The sequence below is a fragment of the Homo sapiens genome, chromosome 16 (assembly GCF_000001405.40).
Source record: "Homo sapiens chromosome 16, GRCh38.p14 Primary Assembly".
NCBI lineage: Eukaryota > Metazoa > Chordata > Mammalia > Primates > Hominidae > Homo > Homo sapiens.
Genome location: NC_000016.10, coordinates 86,256,143 through 86,273,683, shown reverse-complemented (window position 1 = coordinate 86,273,683; position 17,541 = coordinate 86,256,143). Strand labels below are relative to the sequence as shown.

Below are 17,541 nucleotides of genomic sequence, written 5' to 3'. Positions count from 1 at the left end.
TGGAGACCCTGCTCAGCCAGGCTGGGCATTGTAAGGAACTCATCTCACCAGACATCTACAAGCAAGTCTCCATGCTTGGGCACTGTGGAAGGACCTATGGGCAATGGACACTCTCATCCTGATGATGACAGAGGCAAGATTCCTCCTCTTGGTCTCACAGTCCTGATAGGCTGCAGTGACACAGAGCCAGCAGTCCAGCTTAGGGCTGTGCTGGGTAGGGTCTGTGTGCATCATTAACACTGGGAAATGGAATTTACTGCACTGGATAGCTCAACAACCAACCACAAAGATGGAAAACCAGGCTCAGAACAAAACACAATGAAGCAGAGATGTGTCAGAGTCTAAGAGAAAAGAGCTATCTGATGGTCTCTGCAGGTCCCCACTGCGGGTGTTTGTTGTATTTAGTTTAATAAGTATGTATATAGTGCTTTTTATTACTTATACATGTGTGTGTTTAATTCTCATAACAACCACATAAGGTTAGTAATATTTTTATCTTCATATTATAGAGAAGGAAACTGAGATGCAGGAGAGTTTACAATACTTGCCTAAGGTTACCAGCAACTGGTGTAAGAGGTAGCAGACTCAGGATTTAAACTCAAGCTGTTTGTCTCTGGAACACCATTTCTTTTTCCATATTAAAATAACATAAGAAATGAGGGATCTGGATTTAGCTCCATGAAGGCCTCGTGAAGTCTTTCTGTTCCACTTTGCAAGCTTCTTTCTTTAAGATCTCATGGTCCAAGAAGGCTGCTGGAGCTCCATCCATTGCATCCACATTCCAGGCAGAAAAAAAGTGGTAATGGGAGGAGAAAGATAAAAGTCAGGCTTATCAGATGAGTCAACTCTTTGAGATATTTTCTTGGAAGACCTACACAATAAATAGTTTCTGCTTATATCTCAACAACAATAACACATAAGATAAGGAAAGTATGTAATAATAATAAATAGAAACCCTTACACCTACCTTTTTCCTCTTTCTGGAGCCAGGTAGTAAGAACCACATGAAATTATAATAAAATTTGCCATAGTCTTGTTCATACTTACATTCCTATATTTCAAAATGCTTTGCGTAACTGGCCACCATAATCGCTCTAATTACGGAGGCAAGGAGCACAATTCCTGGGATGCTGGTGGATGTTAAATAATTAGAGTGAGCTGGTGGAAACTTTCTAGTTTCTGTATTGAGGTTAAATCGGCATTTGCAGTTCTCTGGGGCAAGGCTTGCTTTCAAGTTCTCATCGGTGTAATTAAGCCAGTGACTTTACAAAGCAAAACACCCCCGTTTACATTTACAACCAGGATACCCAGCAATCACCTCCTCCAGCCCTGGGAAGGTGTGAGAGCCACATACACAGCCCCTTGCTTTGCAACTGGGTCAAACAGACATGCCCTCGTCAGCTGGGAGAGAGGATTCTAAATGAGTACACAGAAAGAGAAAAACTTTCAGCTCCACCCAAGCTAGATCTTCACAGAGAGCTTTAATTCTGTTCTCGTTTTGTTTAAAAAGACTGTGAGTTTGCAGAACACAGCATACAACCAAACGTAACTTTAAGCACCAAATCATTTCAAGTGGATGCCTGGCATTTGTTCATTGGGACCACTTCACCCAGTGTCTCTGGGACCTTCAGGGACTTGGGGTAAGCAGGATGCTGGGGCTGTTTGGCACCAAGTCCAGGGTAGGCTACAGCCTAGCTGACTCCCCGCTGACCCTGGGGGAATGAGACCCTTGCTAGCCATCCGTGCACAACATTCAGCAGTTAAATCTGAATCTCGATACTGCCTCTAGCTAGCTGTGTCCTCTTGGGGCAAGGTGGTTTAACCTTTCCAGGCCTCAGTTTCTTCATCTGTTCAGTGGAAATGATCGTGGGCTCTTGTGACCTGCTGTAAGCCAGAGCTGTTACCAGCCATTGTATTTCGATGAGCTACGAAGCTGTGTAAAAACAATGCATAAAACAGAATTGCCTGGGAGCAAAGAGCAGTCCCTCTCCCCACAAACACTTCCTTCATCCTTGCATTTTCCAGTTCCCCATTTTGAGCTGTCTCCTCTCCCCCAGGATGTGCCTTCTAGATGGGAGTATGGAGAGTTGACTGAGATGGATACCGCCCCCACCCATGCTGGACAGCCTTACATATTTCCAGTTGGGTCCAGCTTAAGGAGGGGACTGTGACATCACTAAGGGTGCACACACCATGCTGTGTAGGAAGGCTCAAATGCCTGGGTGAAAAGTGCTTAAAGCAAAAGAAGTTGGAGTGTTGTCGAATAGAGTAATTTTAGAGAGAGTATTAAAGAGTCTTGTCAATGCCTATGTATTGACTTCCCCTGGGGTTTTAAAATTTGATTTCCTTGGCTGAGAATTCAGTTCTTGGCTTAACCACAACCTCATGAAATATTAACAGTTTCTCCACTGGAAATGGCGTGTGTGTGTGTGTGTGTGTGTGTCAGAGAAAAAGAGACAGAGCGTATGCATACGCATGCTTACATAGTTTTGTTCTAGAAAATTCTAGGAAAATTAACAATTTTCCCGATGAAAATTGTGTGTATGTGTGTGCATGTGCGTGTGTGAGTGCACATGCATGTGCACCCATTAAATTATTCTGGAAAATTCTAAGAACACCACGTTAATGAGGCCTAAGAATGCTGTTGCTGTGTGCCAGTACCCCAGCTACGTCCCCTGAATCTTCGTGACACCCTCTCAGGTTGGGATTTTCTTTATTGTTGTTACAGAGATGAAGAAAGTGAGGTCAGACAGGAACTCTGAGGCTCACCAGGGTCACGTGGCTGGATCCTGTCCCAGGGTCTGTGCTGCCTTCTAGTACCAGGGCAGTAACAGGGTAGAGTTTTACCCGGAAAGATAGTGCCCCAGTTCTGGAACTTCCCCCAGGAGGCTCATCCCTGTCTGGGACGGGCCTACACCTTCCTCTATAGTAAACAAGGGCAAGCCCACACTCCCACATTTCCCTGACTGGCCCCCAAAGCCCACCGCAGCTGCCTTTCAGCACCAGGGAGCTCAGGGCACTTGCATTCTTAGGCAATGTGCCACAGTCCTTCATCTCTGACCCTCTTCTGACACCAGAAAACTCAGGGCAGTCCCTTGCTCTCTTGCCTCTGTCAGCAGTTATGGGGCAAGTCTGGCTTTGGTGTACGAGCATCACCACTGTCTCAGGCACAGAGCACAGCAGGGGCACTCCCTGGGTACTCTTCTCCTGGCACGTTTGTGTGCCTGGACATGCTCTGACAATCTCTTCCCCCATCAGATCCTTAGGCTGGAAAGAACTTCCAATCCTGCAGAGTTCATTCACTCCAGGGCAGGAGAAGTCACTCAAGACTTCTCCTGCCCTGACCCCAAGATGGAATCAGGGTCATTTTATGGGTATTTGCTGTAGGAATGCACTTCTTTTCCTTCCTAAATCACTCAGAGCCCGAGTGTGAATCCCAGTTCTGCCACTTACTACTGAGTGACCTTGGGCAAGTAACTCAACCTTTCTGGGCCTCATTTGCCTCATGTAAAATGAGACGAATAATATCTGCCACATAGGATTATTGTGGAGGCTGTGTTGCTTACTGCACACAGGCTTAGAGCAGCACCTGTTACACAGGAAGCACCTACTACTGGGTGATGCTTTCCTTCTTTGTTTCCAGCACATAGTCAGTGTTTAAGAAACCTGAATGCCTCTTTGCGAATAAAAGTGATGCAGTAACTTCATAGTTTTCATGGCTCTTCAAAGTCAAGTTTCAGCATATCTGAAGTAAACCCTAGATAGAGACCTCCTTTGAAAAAGCAAATTAACCCAAAGGACTATAAATCATGCTGCTATGAAGACACATGCACACGTATGTTTATTGCGGCACTATTCACAATAGCAAAGACTTGGAACCAACCCAAGTGTCCAACAATGATAGACTGGATTAAGAAAATGTGGCACATATACACCATGGAATACTATGCAGCCACAAAAAATGAGTTCATGTCCTTTGTAGGGACATGGATGAAATTGGAAATCATCATTCTCAGTAAACTATCGCAAAGACAAAAAACCAAACACTGCATGTTCTCACTTATAGGTGGGAATTGAACAATGAGAACACATGGACACAGGAAGGGGAACATCACACTCTGGGGACTGTTGTGGAGTGGGGGGAGAGGGGAGGGATAGCATTAGGAGATATACCTAATGCTAAATGATGAGTTAATGGGTGCAGCACACCAGCATGGCACATGTATACATATGTAACTAACCTGCACATTGTGCACATGTACCCTAAAACTTAAAGTATAATAATAATAAAAGAAAAGAAAAGAAAAAGCAAATTATACAGAAACTTGCTGCTATGGTTTGAATATGTCCTCAGAATGTCTATGTTAGAAGTTTGGCCCCTCACGTAGCAATGTTGGGAGGTGGGGCCTTTAAGAGGTGATTAGGTCATTAAGAGGGATTAATGCCCCTCCTTCAAAACAGGATTAATTCTCAAAGGAGTGAGTTATGGCTTTTGCAGGACTAGATTGGTCACCACAAAGGCAGGTTGTTATAAAGTGAGGACATCTCTCATCTTTGCCCCTTCTATAAGCACCCACTTCCTCTTCTGCTTCTCCTCCAGGTTATGATGCAGTGGAGGCCCTTACCAGAAGCCAACCAGATGCCAGCACCATGCTCTTGGATTTCCCAGTCTCCAGAATGGTGAGCTAAATAAACCCCTATTCTTCATAAATTACTCAATCTGGGGTATACAGCTATTGCAACAGAAAATGGACTAAGACACCTGTCTTCTCACATCCCTTCATTATGCAGTGCTCTACTATAGGAAAGATGGTACCAAATCATATTTTTTATTCAGTCAATTTAAATACCAGTCATTAAAGGAAATATGGGGATTTTCTGGCATTAAAATGCTATGGCTCTAAATAAACCAGAGAATGTGAATATTACAGAGTTACATTGTGTTAAGGTTTCAGGATAGACCTTGAAAGGCTGTTTGCTGGGGTCACCAGACTCAGCTGAACTAGGTTTCAAACAGTTCCCCAGTTTCCACCAAGACACTTTCCCTTGATACCACAGCTGGAGAAAATTCCATGCCCTTTGGTTCCCCAGACACATTCCTAGAACCAAGCAGGCGCTGCTGATGTTTGGAAATGAACTGGATCTTTGAATATATGCACGGAAGAGGAACAGGAGCACTGTAGCAGCAGCTATAAAAATGCTATGAAATGACCACACCAGGAAATGGAATTCATGGGAACAGTTGTAAACATACAAGCAACACTGAAAGAAACAGAGAGGGACCCTAATTATTGAAACACACACCACAAAAATTCAATGAAGGAATATTAGGACCTAAGAGCTGGACACCCATCCATTAACATTGTTTCCCCAAGAGTGAGATGCATGTCAGCGGGGCACAGGATGATTTTAGGTGGTAACAGACACAGGAGTTATTGAATCAAGTAGAAAGTCTTTTTTTCTAATTCTTTTTCTTTTTCTTTTTCTTTTTCTTTTTTATTATACTTTAAGTTTTAGGGTACATGTGCACATTGTGCAGGTTAGTTACATATGTATATATGTGCCATGCTGGTGCGCTGCACCCAGTAACTCGTCATCTAGCATTAGGTATACCTCCCAATGCTATCCCTCCCCCCTCCCCCAACCCCACCACAGTCCCCAGAGTGTGATATTCCCCTTTCTGTGTCCATGTGATCTCATTGTTCAATTCCCACCTATGAGTGAGAATATGCGGTGTTTGGTTTTTTGTTCTTGTGATAGTTTACTGAGAATGATGGTTTCCAATTTCATCCATGTCCCTACAAAGGACATGAACTCATCCTTTTTCATGGCTGCATAGTATTCCATGGTGTATGTGTGCCACATTTTCTTAATCGAGTCTATCATTGTTGGCCATTTGGGTTGGTTCCAAGTCTTTGCTGTTGTGAATAATGCCGCAATAAACATAAGTGTGCATGTGTCTTTATAGCAGCATGATTTATAGTCCTTTGGGTATATACACAGTAATGGGATGGCTGGGTCAAATGGTATTTCTAGTTCTAGATCCCTGAGGAATCGCCACACTGACTTCCACAATGGTTGAACTAGTTTACAGTCCCACCAACAGTGTAAAAGTGTTCCTGTTTCCCCACATCCTCTCCAGCACCTGTTGTTTCCTGACTTTTTAATGATTGCCATTCTAACTGGTGTGAGATGGTATCTCATTGTGGTTTTGATTTGCATTTCTCTGATGGCCAGTGATGATGAGCATTTTTTCATTTGTTTTTTGGCTGCATAAATGTCTTCTTTTGAGAAGTGTCTGTTCATGTCCTTTGCCCACTTTTTGATGGGGTTGTTTGTTTTTTTCTTGTAAATTTGTTGGAGTTCATTGTAGATTCTGAATATTAGCCCTTTGTCAGATGAGTAAGTTGCAAAAATTTTCTCCCATTTTGTAGGTTGCCTGTTCACTCTGATGGTAGTTTCTTTTGTTGTGCAGAAGCTCTTTCGTTTAATTAGATCCCATTTGTCAATTTTGTCTTTTGTTGCCATTGCTTTTGGTGTTTTAGACATGAAGTCCTTGCCCATGCCTATGTCCTGAATGGTAATGCCTAGGTTTTCTTCTAGGGTTTTTATGGTTTTAGGTCTAAGGTTTAAGTCTTTAATCCATCTTGAATTGATTTTTGTATAAAGTGTAAGGAAGGGATCCAGTTTCAGCTTTCTACATATGGCTAGCCAGTTTTCCCAGCACCATTTATTAAACAGGGAATCCTTTCCCCATTGTTTGTTTTTCTCAGTTTGTCAAAGATCAGATAGTTGTAGATATGTGGCGTTATTTCTGAGGGCTCTGTTCTGTTCCATTGATCTATATCTCTGTTTTGGTACCAGTACCATGCTGTTTTGGTTACTGCAGCCTTGTAGTATAGTTTGAAGTCAGGTAGTGTGATGCCTCCAGCTTTGTTCTTTTGGCTTAGGATTGACTTGGCGATGCAGGCTCTTTTTTGGTTCCATATGAACTTTAAAGTAGTTTTTTCCAATTCTGTGAAGAAAGGCATTGGTAGCTTGATGGGGATGGCATTGAATCTGTAAATTACCTTGGGCAGTATGGCCATTTTCACGATATTGATTCTTCCTACCCATGAGCATGGAATGTTCTTCCATTTGTTTGTATCCTCTTTTATTTCCTTGAGCAGTGGTTTGTAGTACTCCTTGAAGAGGTCCTTCACATCCCTTGTAAGTTGGATTCCTAGGTATTTTATTCTCTTTGAAGCAATTGTGAATGGGAGTTCACTCATGATTTGGCTCTCTGTTTGTCTGTTGTTGGTGTATAAGAGTGCTTGTGATTTTTGTACATTGATTTTGTATCCTGAGACTTTGCTGAAGTTGCTTATCAGCTTAAGGAGATTTTGGGCTGAGACGATGGGGTTTTCTAGATATACAATCATGTCATCTGCAAACAGGGACAATTTGACTTCCTCTTTTCCTAATTGAATACCATTTATTTCCTTCTCCTGCCTAATTGCCTTGGCCAGAAATTCCAACACTATGTTGAATAGGAGTGGTGAGAGAGGGCATCCCTGTCTTGTGCCAGTTTTCAAAGGGAATGCTTCCAGGTTTTGCCCATTCAGTATGATATTGGCTGTGGGTTTGTCATAGATAGCTCTTATTATTTTGAAATATGTCCCATCAATACCTGATTTATTGAGAGTTTTTAGCATGAAGGGTTGTTGAATTTTGTCAAAGGCCTTTTCTGCATCTATTGAGATAATCATGTGGTTTTTGTCTTTGGCTCTGTTTATATGCTGGATTACATTTATTGATTTGCGTATATTGAACCAGCCTTGCATCCCAGGGATGAAGCCCACTTGATCATGGTGGATAAGCTTTTTGATGTGCTGCTGGATTCGGTTTGCCAGTATTTTATTGAGGATTTTTGCATCAGTGTTCATCAAGGATATTGGTCTAAAATTCTCTTTTTTGGTTGTGTCTCTGCCCGGCTTTGGTATCAGAATGATGCTGGCCTCATAACATGAGTTAGGGAGGATTCCCTCTTTTTCTATTGATTGGAATAGTTTCAGAAGGAATGGTACCAGTTCCTCCTTGTACCTCTGGTAGAATTCGGCTGTGAATCCATCTGGTCCTGGACTCTTTTTGGTTGGTAAGCTATTGATTATTGCCACAATTTCAGCTCCTGTTATTGGTCTATTCAGAGATTCAACTTCTTCCTGCTTTAGTCTTGGGAGAGTGTATGTGTCCAGGAATTTATCTATTTCTTCTAGATTTTCTAGTTTATTTGCATAGAGGTGTTTGTAGTATTCTCTGATGGTAGTTTGTATTTCTGTGGGATCGGTGGTGATATCCCCTTTATCATTTTTTATTGCGTCTATTTGATTCTTCTCTGTTTTTTTCTTTATTAGTCTTGCTAGCGGTCTACCAATTTTGTTGATCCTTTCAAAAAACCAGCTCCTGGATTCATTAATTTTTTGAAGGGTTTTTTTGTGTCTCTATTTCCTTCAGTTCTGCTCTGATTTTAGTTATTTCTTGCCTTCTGCTAGCTTTTGAATGTGTTTGCTCTTGCTTTTCTAGTTCTTTTAATTGTGATGTTAGGGTGTCAATTTTGGATCTTTCCTGCTTTCTCTTGTGGGCATTTAGTGCTATAAATTTCCCTCTGCACACTGCTTTGAATGTGTCCCAGAGATTCTGGTATGTTGTGTCTTTGTTCTCGTTGGTTTCAAAGAACATCTTTATTTCTGCCTTCATTTTGTTATGTACCTAGTAGTAATTCAGGAGCAGGTTGTTGAGTTTCCATGTAGTTGAGTGGTTTTGAGTGAGATTCTTAATCCTGAGTTCTAGTTTGATTGCACTGTGGTCTGAGAGATAGTTTGTTATAATCTCTGTTCTTTTACATTTGCTGAGGAGAGCTTTACTTCCAAGTATGTGGTCAATTTTGGAATAGGTGTGGTGTGGTGCTGAAAAAAATGTATATTCTGTTGATTTGGGGTGGAGAGTTCTGTAGATGTCTATTAGGTCCGCTTGGTGCAGAGCTGGGTTCAATTCCTGGGTATCCTTGTTGACTGTCTGTCTCGTTGATCTGTCTAATGTTGACAGTGGGGTGTTAAAGTCTCCCATTATTAATGTGTGGGAGTCTAAGTCTCTTTGTAGGTCACTCAGGACTTGCTTTAGGAATCTGGGTGCTCCTGTGTTGGGTGCATATATATTTAGGATAGTTAGCTCTTCTTGTTGAATTGATCCCTTTACCATTATGTAATGGCCTTCTTTGTCTCTTTTGATCTTTGTTGGTTTAAAGTCTGTTTTATCAGAGACTAGGATTGCAACCCCTGCCTTTTTTTGTTTTCCATTTGCTTGGTAGATCTTCCTCCATCCTTTTATTTTGAGCCTATGTGTGTCTCTGCACGTGAGATGGGTTTCTTGAATACAGCACACTGATGGGTCTTGACTCTTTATCCAATTTGCCAGTCTGTATCTTTTAATTGGAGAATTTAGTCCATTTACATTTAAAGTTAATATTGTTATGTGTGAATTTGATCCTGTCATTATGATGTTAGCTGGTGATTTTGCTCGTTAGTTGATGCAGTTTCTTCCTAGTCTCGATGGTCTTTACATTTTGGCATGATTTTGCAGCGGCTGGTACTGGTTGTTCCTTTCCATGTTTAGCGCTTTCTTCAGGAGCTCTTTTAGGGCAGGCCTGGTGGTGACAAAATCTCTCAGCATTTGCTTGTCTGTAAAGTATTTTATTTCTCCTTCACTTATGAAGCTTAGTTTGGCTGGATACGAAATTCTGGGTTGAAAACACTTTTCTTCAAGAATGTTGAATATTGGCCCCCACTCTCTTCTGGCTTGTAGGGTTTCTGCCGAGAGATCCGCTGTTAGTCTGATGGGCTTCCCTTTGAGGGTAACCCGACCTTTCTCTCTGGCTGTCCTTAACATTTTTTCCTCATTTCAACTTTGCTGAATCTGACAATTACGTGTCTTGGAGTTGCTCTTCTCAAGGAGTATTGTTGTGGCATTCTCTGTATTTCCTGAATCTGAACGTTGGCCTGCCTTGCTAGATTGGGGAAGTTCTCCTGGATAATATCCTGCAGAGTGTTTTCCAACTTGGTTCCATTCTCCCCATCACTTTCAGGTACACCAATCAGACGTAGATTTGGTCTTTTCACATAGTCCCATATTTCTTGGAGGCTTTGCTCATTTCTTTTAATTCTTTTTTCTCTAGACTTCCCTTCTCGCTTCATTTCATTCATTTCGTCTTCCATCGCTGATACCCTTTCTTCCAGTTGATCGCATCGGCTCCTGAGGCTTCTGCATTCTTCACGTAGTTCTGGAGCCTTGGTTTTCAGCTCCATCAGCTCCTTTAAGCACTTCTCTGTATTGGTTATTCTAGTTATACATTCTTCTAAATTTTTTTCAAAGTTTTCAACTTCTTTGCCTTTGGTTTGAATGTCCTCCCGTAGCTCAGAGTAATTTGATCGTCTGAAGCCTTCTTCTCTCAGCTTGTCAAAGTCATTCCCCATCCAGCTTTGTTCCATTGCTGGTGAGGAACTGCCTCCCTTTGGAGGAGGAGAGGCACTCTGCTTTTTAGAGTTTCCAGTTTTTTGTTCTGTTTTTTCCCCATCTTTGTGGTTTTATCTACTTTTGGTCTTTGATGATGGTGATGTACAGATGGGTTTTTGGTGTGGATGTCCTTTCTGTTTGTTAGTTTTCCTTCTAACAGAGAGGACCCTGAGCTGCAGGTCTGTTGGAGTACCCTGCCGTGTGAGGTGTCAGTGTGCCCCTGCTGGGGGGTGCCTCCCAGTTAGGCTGCTCGGGGGTCAGGGGTCAGGGACCCACTTGAGGAGGCAGTCTGCCCGTTCTCAGATCTCCAGCTGTGTGCTGGGAGAACCACTGCTCTCTTCAAAGCTGTCAGACAGGGACATTTAAGTCTGCAGAGGTTACTGCTGTCTTTTTGTTTGTCTGTGCCCTGCCCCCAGAGGTGGAGCCTACAGAGGCAGGCAGGCCTCCTTGAGCTGTGGTGGGCTCCACCCAGTTCGAGCTTCCCGGCTGCTTTGTTTACCTAAGCAAGCCTGGGCAATGGCGGGCGCCCCTCCCCCAGCCTCGCTGCTGCCTTGCAGTTTGATGTCAGACTGCTGTGCTAGCAATTAGTGAGACTCCCTGGGCGTAGGACCCTCCGAGCCAGGTGCGGGATATAATCTCGTGGTGCGCCGTTTTTTTTAAGCCCGTCGGAAAAGCGCAGTATTCGGGTGGGAGTGACCCGATTTTCCAGGTGCCATCTGTCACCCCTTTCTTTGACTCAGACAGGGAACTCCCTGACCCCTTGCGCTTCCCAAGTGAGGCAATGCCTTGCCCTGCTTCGGCTCGCACACGGTGCGCGCACCCACTGACCTGCGCCCACTGTCTGGCACTCCGTAGTGAGATGAACCCGGTACCTCAGATGGAAATGCAGAAATCACCCGTCTTCTGCGTCGCTCACGCTGGGAGCTGTAGACTGGAGCTCTTCCTATTCGGCCATCTTGGCTCCTCCCCAATTCTTTTTCAATACATCTGTTTAACTCCAGAATGAAGTCTCGGTTTGGAGCTAATATATCTTTCACACTTCTATTTACCTGTCTCCCTTCATAACAAGGTGAGGTGATCTCAGGGAGGAGGCAACATCTAGCAAGAATGTAACAACATTGCTTTGTTTGTATTATTTATTTTTAAGAGACATTGGTTTTCTGTTCACAGTAGTTGTATCAAGTTTATTAAGTTTATTTAAGTAGAAATGTCAGTTAGTTAAAGAGAAATGTTCACTGAGTAAAAGCAGAGATTAAAAGTGGGTAGTATTATTCTGCAGTTATCCCCCAACATTTTAGTGACTGAACACAACGAAGGTTTATTTTGCTGTGTGGGTCTGGTCAACTCTCCAAGTCATCACTCCTGTGTGGAGACAGCATTCTAGGCTGCTTCCATCTTGAAGTGATAGCTTCATCTTGAGTGCTAGCTCAGAATTAAGTGTCAAGGTTTGCCACAATACAGGGAAAGTGGCTCCGAAGTTCTTTCATAAGCAATTAAATCCTTTGACTAGGAAGTGAAGCATTGACCAGGAAGTGACACATCACCTTTCCACAAACCCCATTGGCCAGAACTAGTCACGTGGCCCAGGTCACCTGCAAAGAGTACTGGGAAATGAAGTCTTTCATATGTCCAGAAAAGAATAGAAATATTGATCAGCTCAAATAATATCTATCACAGGAGGTATATAGATAAGAAAGCATCTGAAAGGTGGAAACTGAATGACTAAAATGTTGGAAATACTAGGTTATTCCACAGTACACTGACATCACTTAAGAAGCCTTAGGCTGATTGGCCTCAGTTAGCTTAAACAATAAGGAAATGTATAATGTCATACAAGGCAAGTCCAGAAGTGGTGCGGGTTCTCAAGTTGGCTCAGGTTTCTGGTGGATTGCAGCATTCTACAATATCATCAAGGAACCATGTTCTTTCCATCTTTCCACCTCTTCACTCTTGGCTCCATCCTCAGGTTGGTCACAACGGCTGCAGCAGTTCCAGGACAGGGAGCAAGAAGGAAACCTCCTTCTCTTATATCACCTTCATTCAATAAGAGAATCATGTCCCATGTCTCGTTGGCCAGAAGTAGGTCACATGGCCATTGCTAAACCATTGATTGGGGGAGTGGACCTACATGGTTGGCTTGGACTAATGAGGATTTGTTTCCGTGGTGGTGTTGGAGTCACCTCTGTGAGGGATACTTAAGGAAATTTGTTTTTGTTTTTGGTTTTTAGCAAGACAGAGATGGAGGAGCTTCATCTGGTTTATAGAGATGATAGATAGGTAGATAGATAGACAGATAGATAGATTGATATAGATAGACAGATAATAGATACATTAGATAGCTGGATAGCTCCTCCTACATCCTCAGATTCCAGAGCTGCTAGCTAGATAGAGCTAGCTAGCTAGATGGATGGTTGGGTGGGTGGATAGATGGCTAGATAATACACACATAGACAGAGATTCAAACATCTGGGTAATTTAAACTTACATTTATTGATATCCAGAAAAAGGATGGTTGTTGGTCATTTGCTCCCCCTTAACATATCCAAAGATGTTGCTTATTCTGAGATTTTTTACATAATTGTTGAATCTCTCCCTCACTTTGTCTGCATAGAAATAACTGACTTTCACCTACATCACCTATTAGCAAAATAATTGAGTAATTGACTGTAGGGTGTGCCATGGGCCCTATAGTCTCCAGTTGTCTAAGGTAACAATGTCCCTTGAGTGAATGAAGCAATCTTCCCAGCACCCTAGTTTAGTAATTCCCTGAAACAGATTTATCTACATTTCAGAAGGTGCCCTGTACCACCTGACTCAGCTGGGTGCATTTGACCAGTTTTGCCCCCATCTGTAAATATCCCTCAGTCCCCATGGAGCTGTAGAGGTGAGTGATGAAGCAGTGACAGCTCTGGGTAGGAACTCAGCTTAATTTCAAGTTCCAGACCCTCTCCATCCTCAGGTTCTTCTTCTGTAAAATGAAGATCCCTTTGCGGTGAAACGTTTTGCAGCTCTGGAATCTGAGGGTGTAGGAGGAGCTACAGAAGAGGGGTATAGGACTCACCTGAATAAAGGTGGCATCTGTGATTACTGTGGGCGAGGGTGAGAGGGAAGAGGATACTGACACTAAGCCTTGCCTTCTTAGTCCAAATTTTGGTTGTGCATTAAATATGTCTTAATTTTTTTTATAACTTAACCTCACCCCAAATTTGAGCTTCTGTTTCACTAAATCACAATCACTTCTGGGGTCTTCCATTCACCTTTGCTAGGGTAATATCTGAGAGCTGTTAGATTCATGTGGCACTAAGTGTCAGAGGGAATTCCACCTGCCCTTGAAGTTGATGTGCACTGAGATGCCCATTCTTCCTGTCCATTTGGCCCTTCAGGTGTGGTGACCATTTGCATGCCAAGCTTGAGGACACTGGAATTCTGCGAAGTCATCTGTTCCCTTGCCCACGTAGGTCAACTCACGGCCATTTCCTCTCTCGGTCTTATTGTTTGCTAGCAGGGAACAGGCTCTCATTTGTAATATTCAGGAAGAAGCTTCTGCTTAATAACAGAGACCCAAATTAACAGTGGCTTAGACCAGACAAAGGTTGATTCCACACTCTCATATCACACACAGGCAACCCAACCTAAACTTAAATACTAGGCAAAGAGTACCAGAATTGGGATGGCCAGGTCCTTGGGAGGCCCACAAATTGGAAGGCTTATCCATGGGTGCTGGAGATGGGGTGAAGAGGAAGATGATGGGACCAGGGTTAAAGGCCCTCTTGCTGGTAGAGGAAAAATAGTGGAATCCATCCATTGTGGTGACATACAATAGCAGCAAGACTTCCAAGAGATAGTCAAGATGGAATACAGAGATTTGGAAGTGGCCACGATGGAAGAGGAACGTGAATAGCCAAATATTTCTCTTTCTGTGCAATCACTAAAAGGGATAGAACTGGCATTCCCCACTCACAGGAGGCCTCAGGGAAGCTGTATAATCACAAGCACAGTTTCAGTTCATAAAAATTTCCAACTTCTTCAGTTAAGTTCAGGCATTTTTCAGGTCCTTAAGAACCTCCTTCCTTTTCACACCAGACCATTCTCGGACAAAATCCAAAGCTGCCTTAGGGGTGAGCTAAAAGATGCTTTGAATATTTCCCTGGCTGTACCAATGTCTTAAGCCCAATTTCAAATACTAACTAGGAGAAAATCAAGTCTTGGTTTCCAGATTTGTATAATTTTACCTCCTTTGGCCTCTATTGTTGATGACTGGGAGGCCTCGGTTACTGGAAGAGACAATCCCTCGTGTAAACAATGCTGCCACATCCTGATGTCATGGCTCAGGATTTTATAACTTCCAGTTTCTGGTCTTCCATGGGACTTTCCAAATGCTGCCCCTTTTCCCAAATTTAATGTGGAAAAATGAATTTGAAGTCATAGGGATTTAGAACTGAAAGAAACTGTACAAAGACTCTCATCTGTATTTGAAAAAAATTGTTCTGTAATAGCTTTGATGGATGACCAAAAGGAAAACTGGTAGAATGAAAGACTAAGGGGCCGGGCGTGGTGGCTCATGACTGTAATCCCACCACTTTGGGAGGCCGAGGCGGGCAGATCACCTGAGGTCAGGAGTTCGAGACCAGTCTGGCCAACAAGGGGAAACTCCATCTCTATTAGAAATACAAAAATTAGCCAGGCATCATGGTGCATGCCTCTAATACCAGCTACTCAGGAGGCTAAGGCAAGAGAATCACTTGAACCTGGAGGCAGAGGTTGCAGTGAGTCAAGATTGCACCACTGCACTCCAGCCTGGGTGACAGAGTGAGACTGTCTCAAAAAAAATAAAAATAAAAATAAAAAAAAGATTAAGGAAACAGTAATTCTAAATATAAGGATGATTATTATGTGAAGTTTACTACTAGGCCAGGCACTAGGCACATCAGTTCATACACGTGATGCCATCTAACCACAATAGTGCTGTGAGGTGGGTGCTGTTATTATCTCCATATTACAAATGGGGGTGGTTGGGGAGCTCTTATCAATTTTTAGTTGTATTCATTGATGTAACACTCAATTTCTCTGCAGAACATATAGCTTTTGTATGGAAAAATCAGGCAGAAAGAGACGTCTTGTGCCTGTTACCGTCTATTTCTGTAATTTACTACCAAATAGCAAGCCACCAGAGAAGTGACCTTGACCTTTGGCTCTTGTTACCTCTCCTGCTACCTCCTGGCCTCTTGAGACCTGGGTGCGCCTGGAGCTACTCTCTTCCACATGTTTGTTCTCTTCCTGAATGAGGAGATTGAGGGTTTTTAGTATGTGCTGATCTATTTTCCTTGGGCCACCCAAGAAGTCATAGAGCAAAGAGGGATTAAAATGCCTCTCTCCTGAGTGTCTCTTCAGGAGAGGACTAAATAATGGAAAATGAACGTGAAGTGTCGTGTGAAGAAACCTTGGGTCAGATGGCTGCTGAGGCCTCCTGAGTTAGTGGTTAGATGGCCCACGCTTTGAGTCAACCTTCAGTTGGGAAAAGACTTGGAGGTTATTCCCCAGAAGAATGTGAGATAATACACTAGCGGCCCAGTGAGTCTTCTCAACCATGATTAACTGAGGAAGGCTGGGGAGAAGGTCAACATATCTTATGCTAGAAGGTCCCAAGTGCAGCTGTGAATTTGACACTGAGGGTCATGTTGGCGAATGTTCCTACAGCAAAGATAATGGAGGCAGCTGGGTGGGGAAGCAAGGTTGAAAAGGCAGGGGTTATGAAAGTAGGATAGGCTTGAGTTCGACTTTTCCCTCTGAGGAGACTTGGTTCCTGCCAAGATGGAGTAGCTCCATTCCTCCAATCCCTACCTCTTATAACTAAAAACCCTGAACATAGCACAACAAACATGCAAAGACTCTGAAATGTGGATTGGAGACGGCAGGCTGCTTAGGAATCTCGGGACTTAAGGGATGACTCAGCACAAAGTTTCCTGAGTTTCCATATTGAGTCCCATCTGTCTCATACAGGGTGCTGGAGAAGCCCAGAGCCCCAAACCATCAACAGGCCCAGACAAAAAAATCATCCTAAGAAAGCCTGTTTTCTCCAGTCAACATACCAGGAAAAGTGTGGATTAACAGAACTGAAAACCTTGATGACCATAGCCACCATGCTCCAGCCAACCAAAACCAACGGAAACGCTCCTTCTTTCTCTACAACCTTCCAGGTCTCCCACCCAGTGGTGTCAACTGAGCCAAACAGTGACCTAACCTTTCATTTCCTATCCAGCAGAAGCAGGCATGCTCTGATTCCTCTGTTGGGGTGGTATTGGTGGGCTGAGTGGCGAGCTAAACCTCCATTCCCATCTGGAAGGAAATAGACTGAATTCAACAGTGTAAGGTGGAGCTAGTGGGCATTCCTCACTCCTCACTTCACCCTATATATCAGCAAAGCACAGTAGGAGCTGAGCCTTGAATCCTGCCCAGCATCAATGAGGCTGAATGAAGTGGTATGAAAATGAGGAAGGGCTAGTCCACACTCTAGTTTCTCCTGCCCTCCCCCTGCTGACAATGAGGCCCAATGGGTAGCTGAGCCTCTACCCCATCAACAAGGCTGAATGAGGACAAATGAGGCAGAGCTAGCCAGCACTCTGTTTCCCCCACTCCCTAGTATCAGTGAGGGTACAGCAGGGAACTGAGCTTACTACTCAATTTGGAAGCAATGAAGCAGTGTGAGTTGGTGTCAGTGGTACTGAGTTGGGGGTGAATTTCTAGCCCACCCATATGCAGTGAGTTAGTGTGAGTCATCACCACTCCACTTAGAGTGCATAGGTCAATGGAGCCCAGTGGAGCAGTGAACAACCACCCCTACCCTGGATCTACAGGATGCATCTGAACATGGTGACTGCCTGATAAAAAAGAAAATTAAACAGGGTCCTTAGTCTTATGACACAATCCCCCAAAGATCCAGGATCCAAACAAAATCTGCTAATCATCACAAGCACCATGACAATAACAACTTGA

At 43.4% G+C, this 17,541-nt stretch overlaps 1 long non-coding RNA gene across 1 annotated transcript in view, besides 1 other annotated feature; it reads left to right on the top strand.

Moving 5' to 3' along the window:
* The window catches only part of LINC01081 (long intergenic non-protein coding RNA 1081), a 60,668-nt gene that overhangs the window by 12,564 nt on the left and 30,563 nt on the right, over nt 1-17,541 (top strand). Inside the window, exon 3 of the long non-coding RNA NR_104139.1 lies at nt 4,601-4,680. This is a non-coding gene — a long non-coding RNA (long intergenic non-protein coding RNA 1081). The remainder of the gene's footprint in view (nt 1-4,600; nt 4,681-17,541) is intronic.
* Nucleotides 10,740-11,299: an enhancer, noted in NCBI's record as "NANOG-H3K27ac-H3K4me1 hESC enhancer chr16:86295991-86296550 (GRCh37/hg19 assembly coordinates)". NCBI's record gives its function as "activates a minimal SCP1, AML or CMV promoter by ChIP-STARR-seq in naive H9 embryonic stem cells {active_cell/tissue: H9 hESC(naive)}" and the evidence as "EXISTENCE:reporter gene assay evidence [ECO:0000049][PMID:30033119]".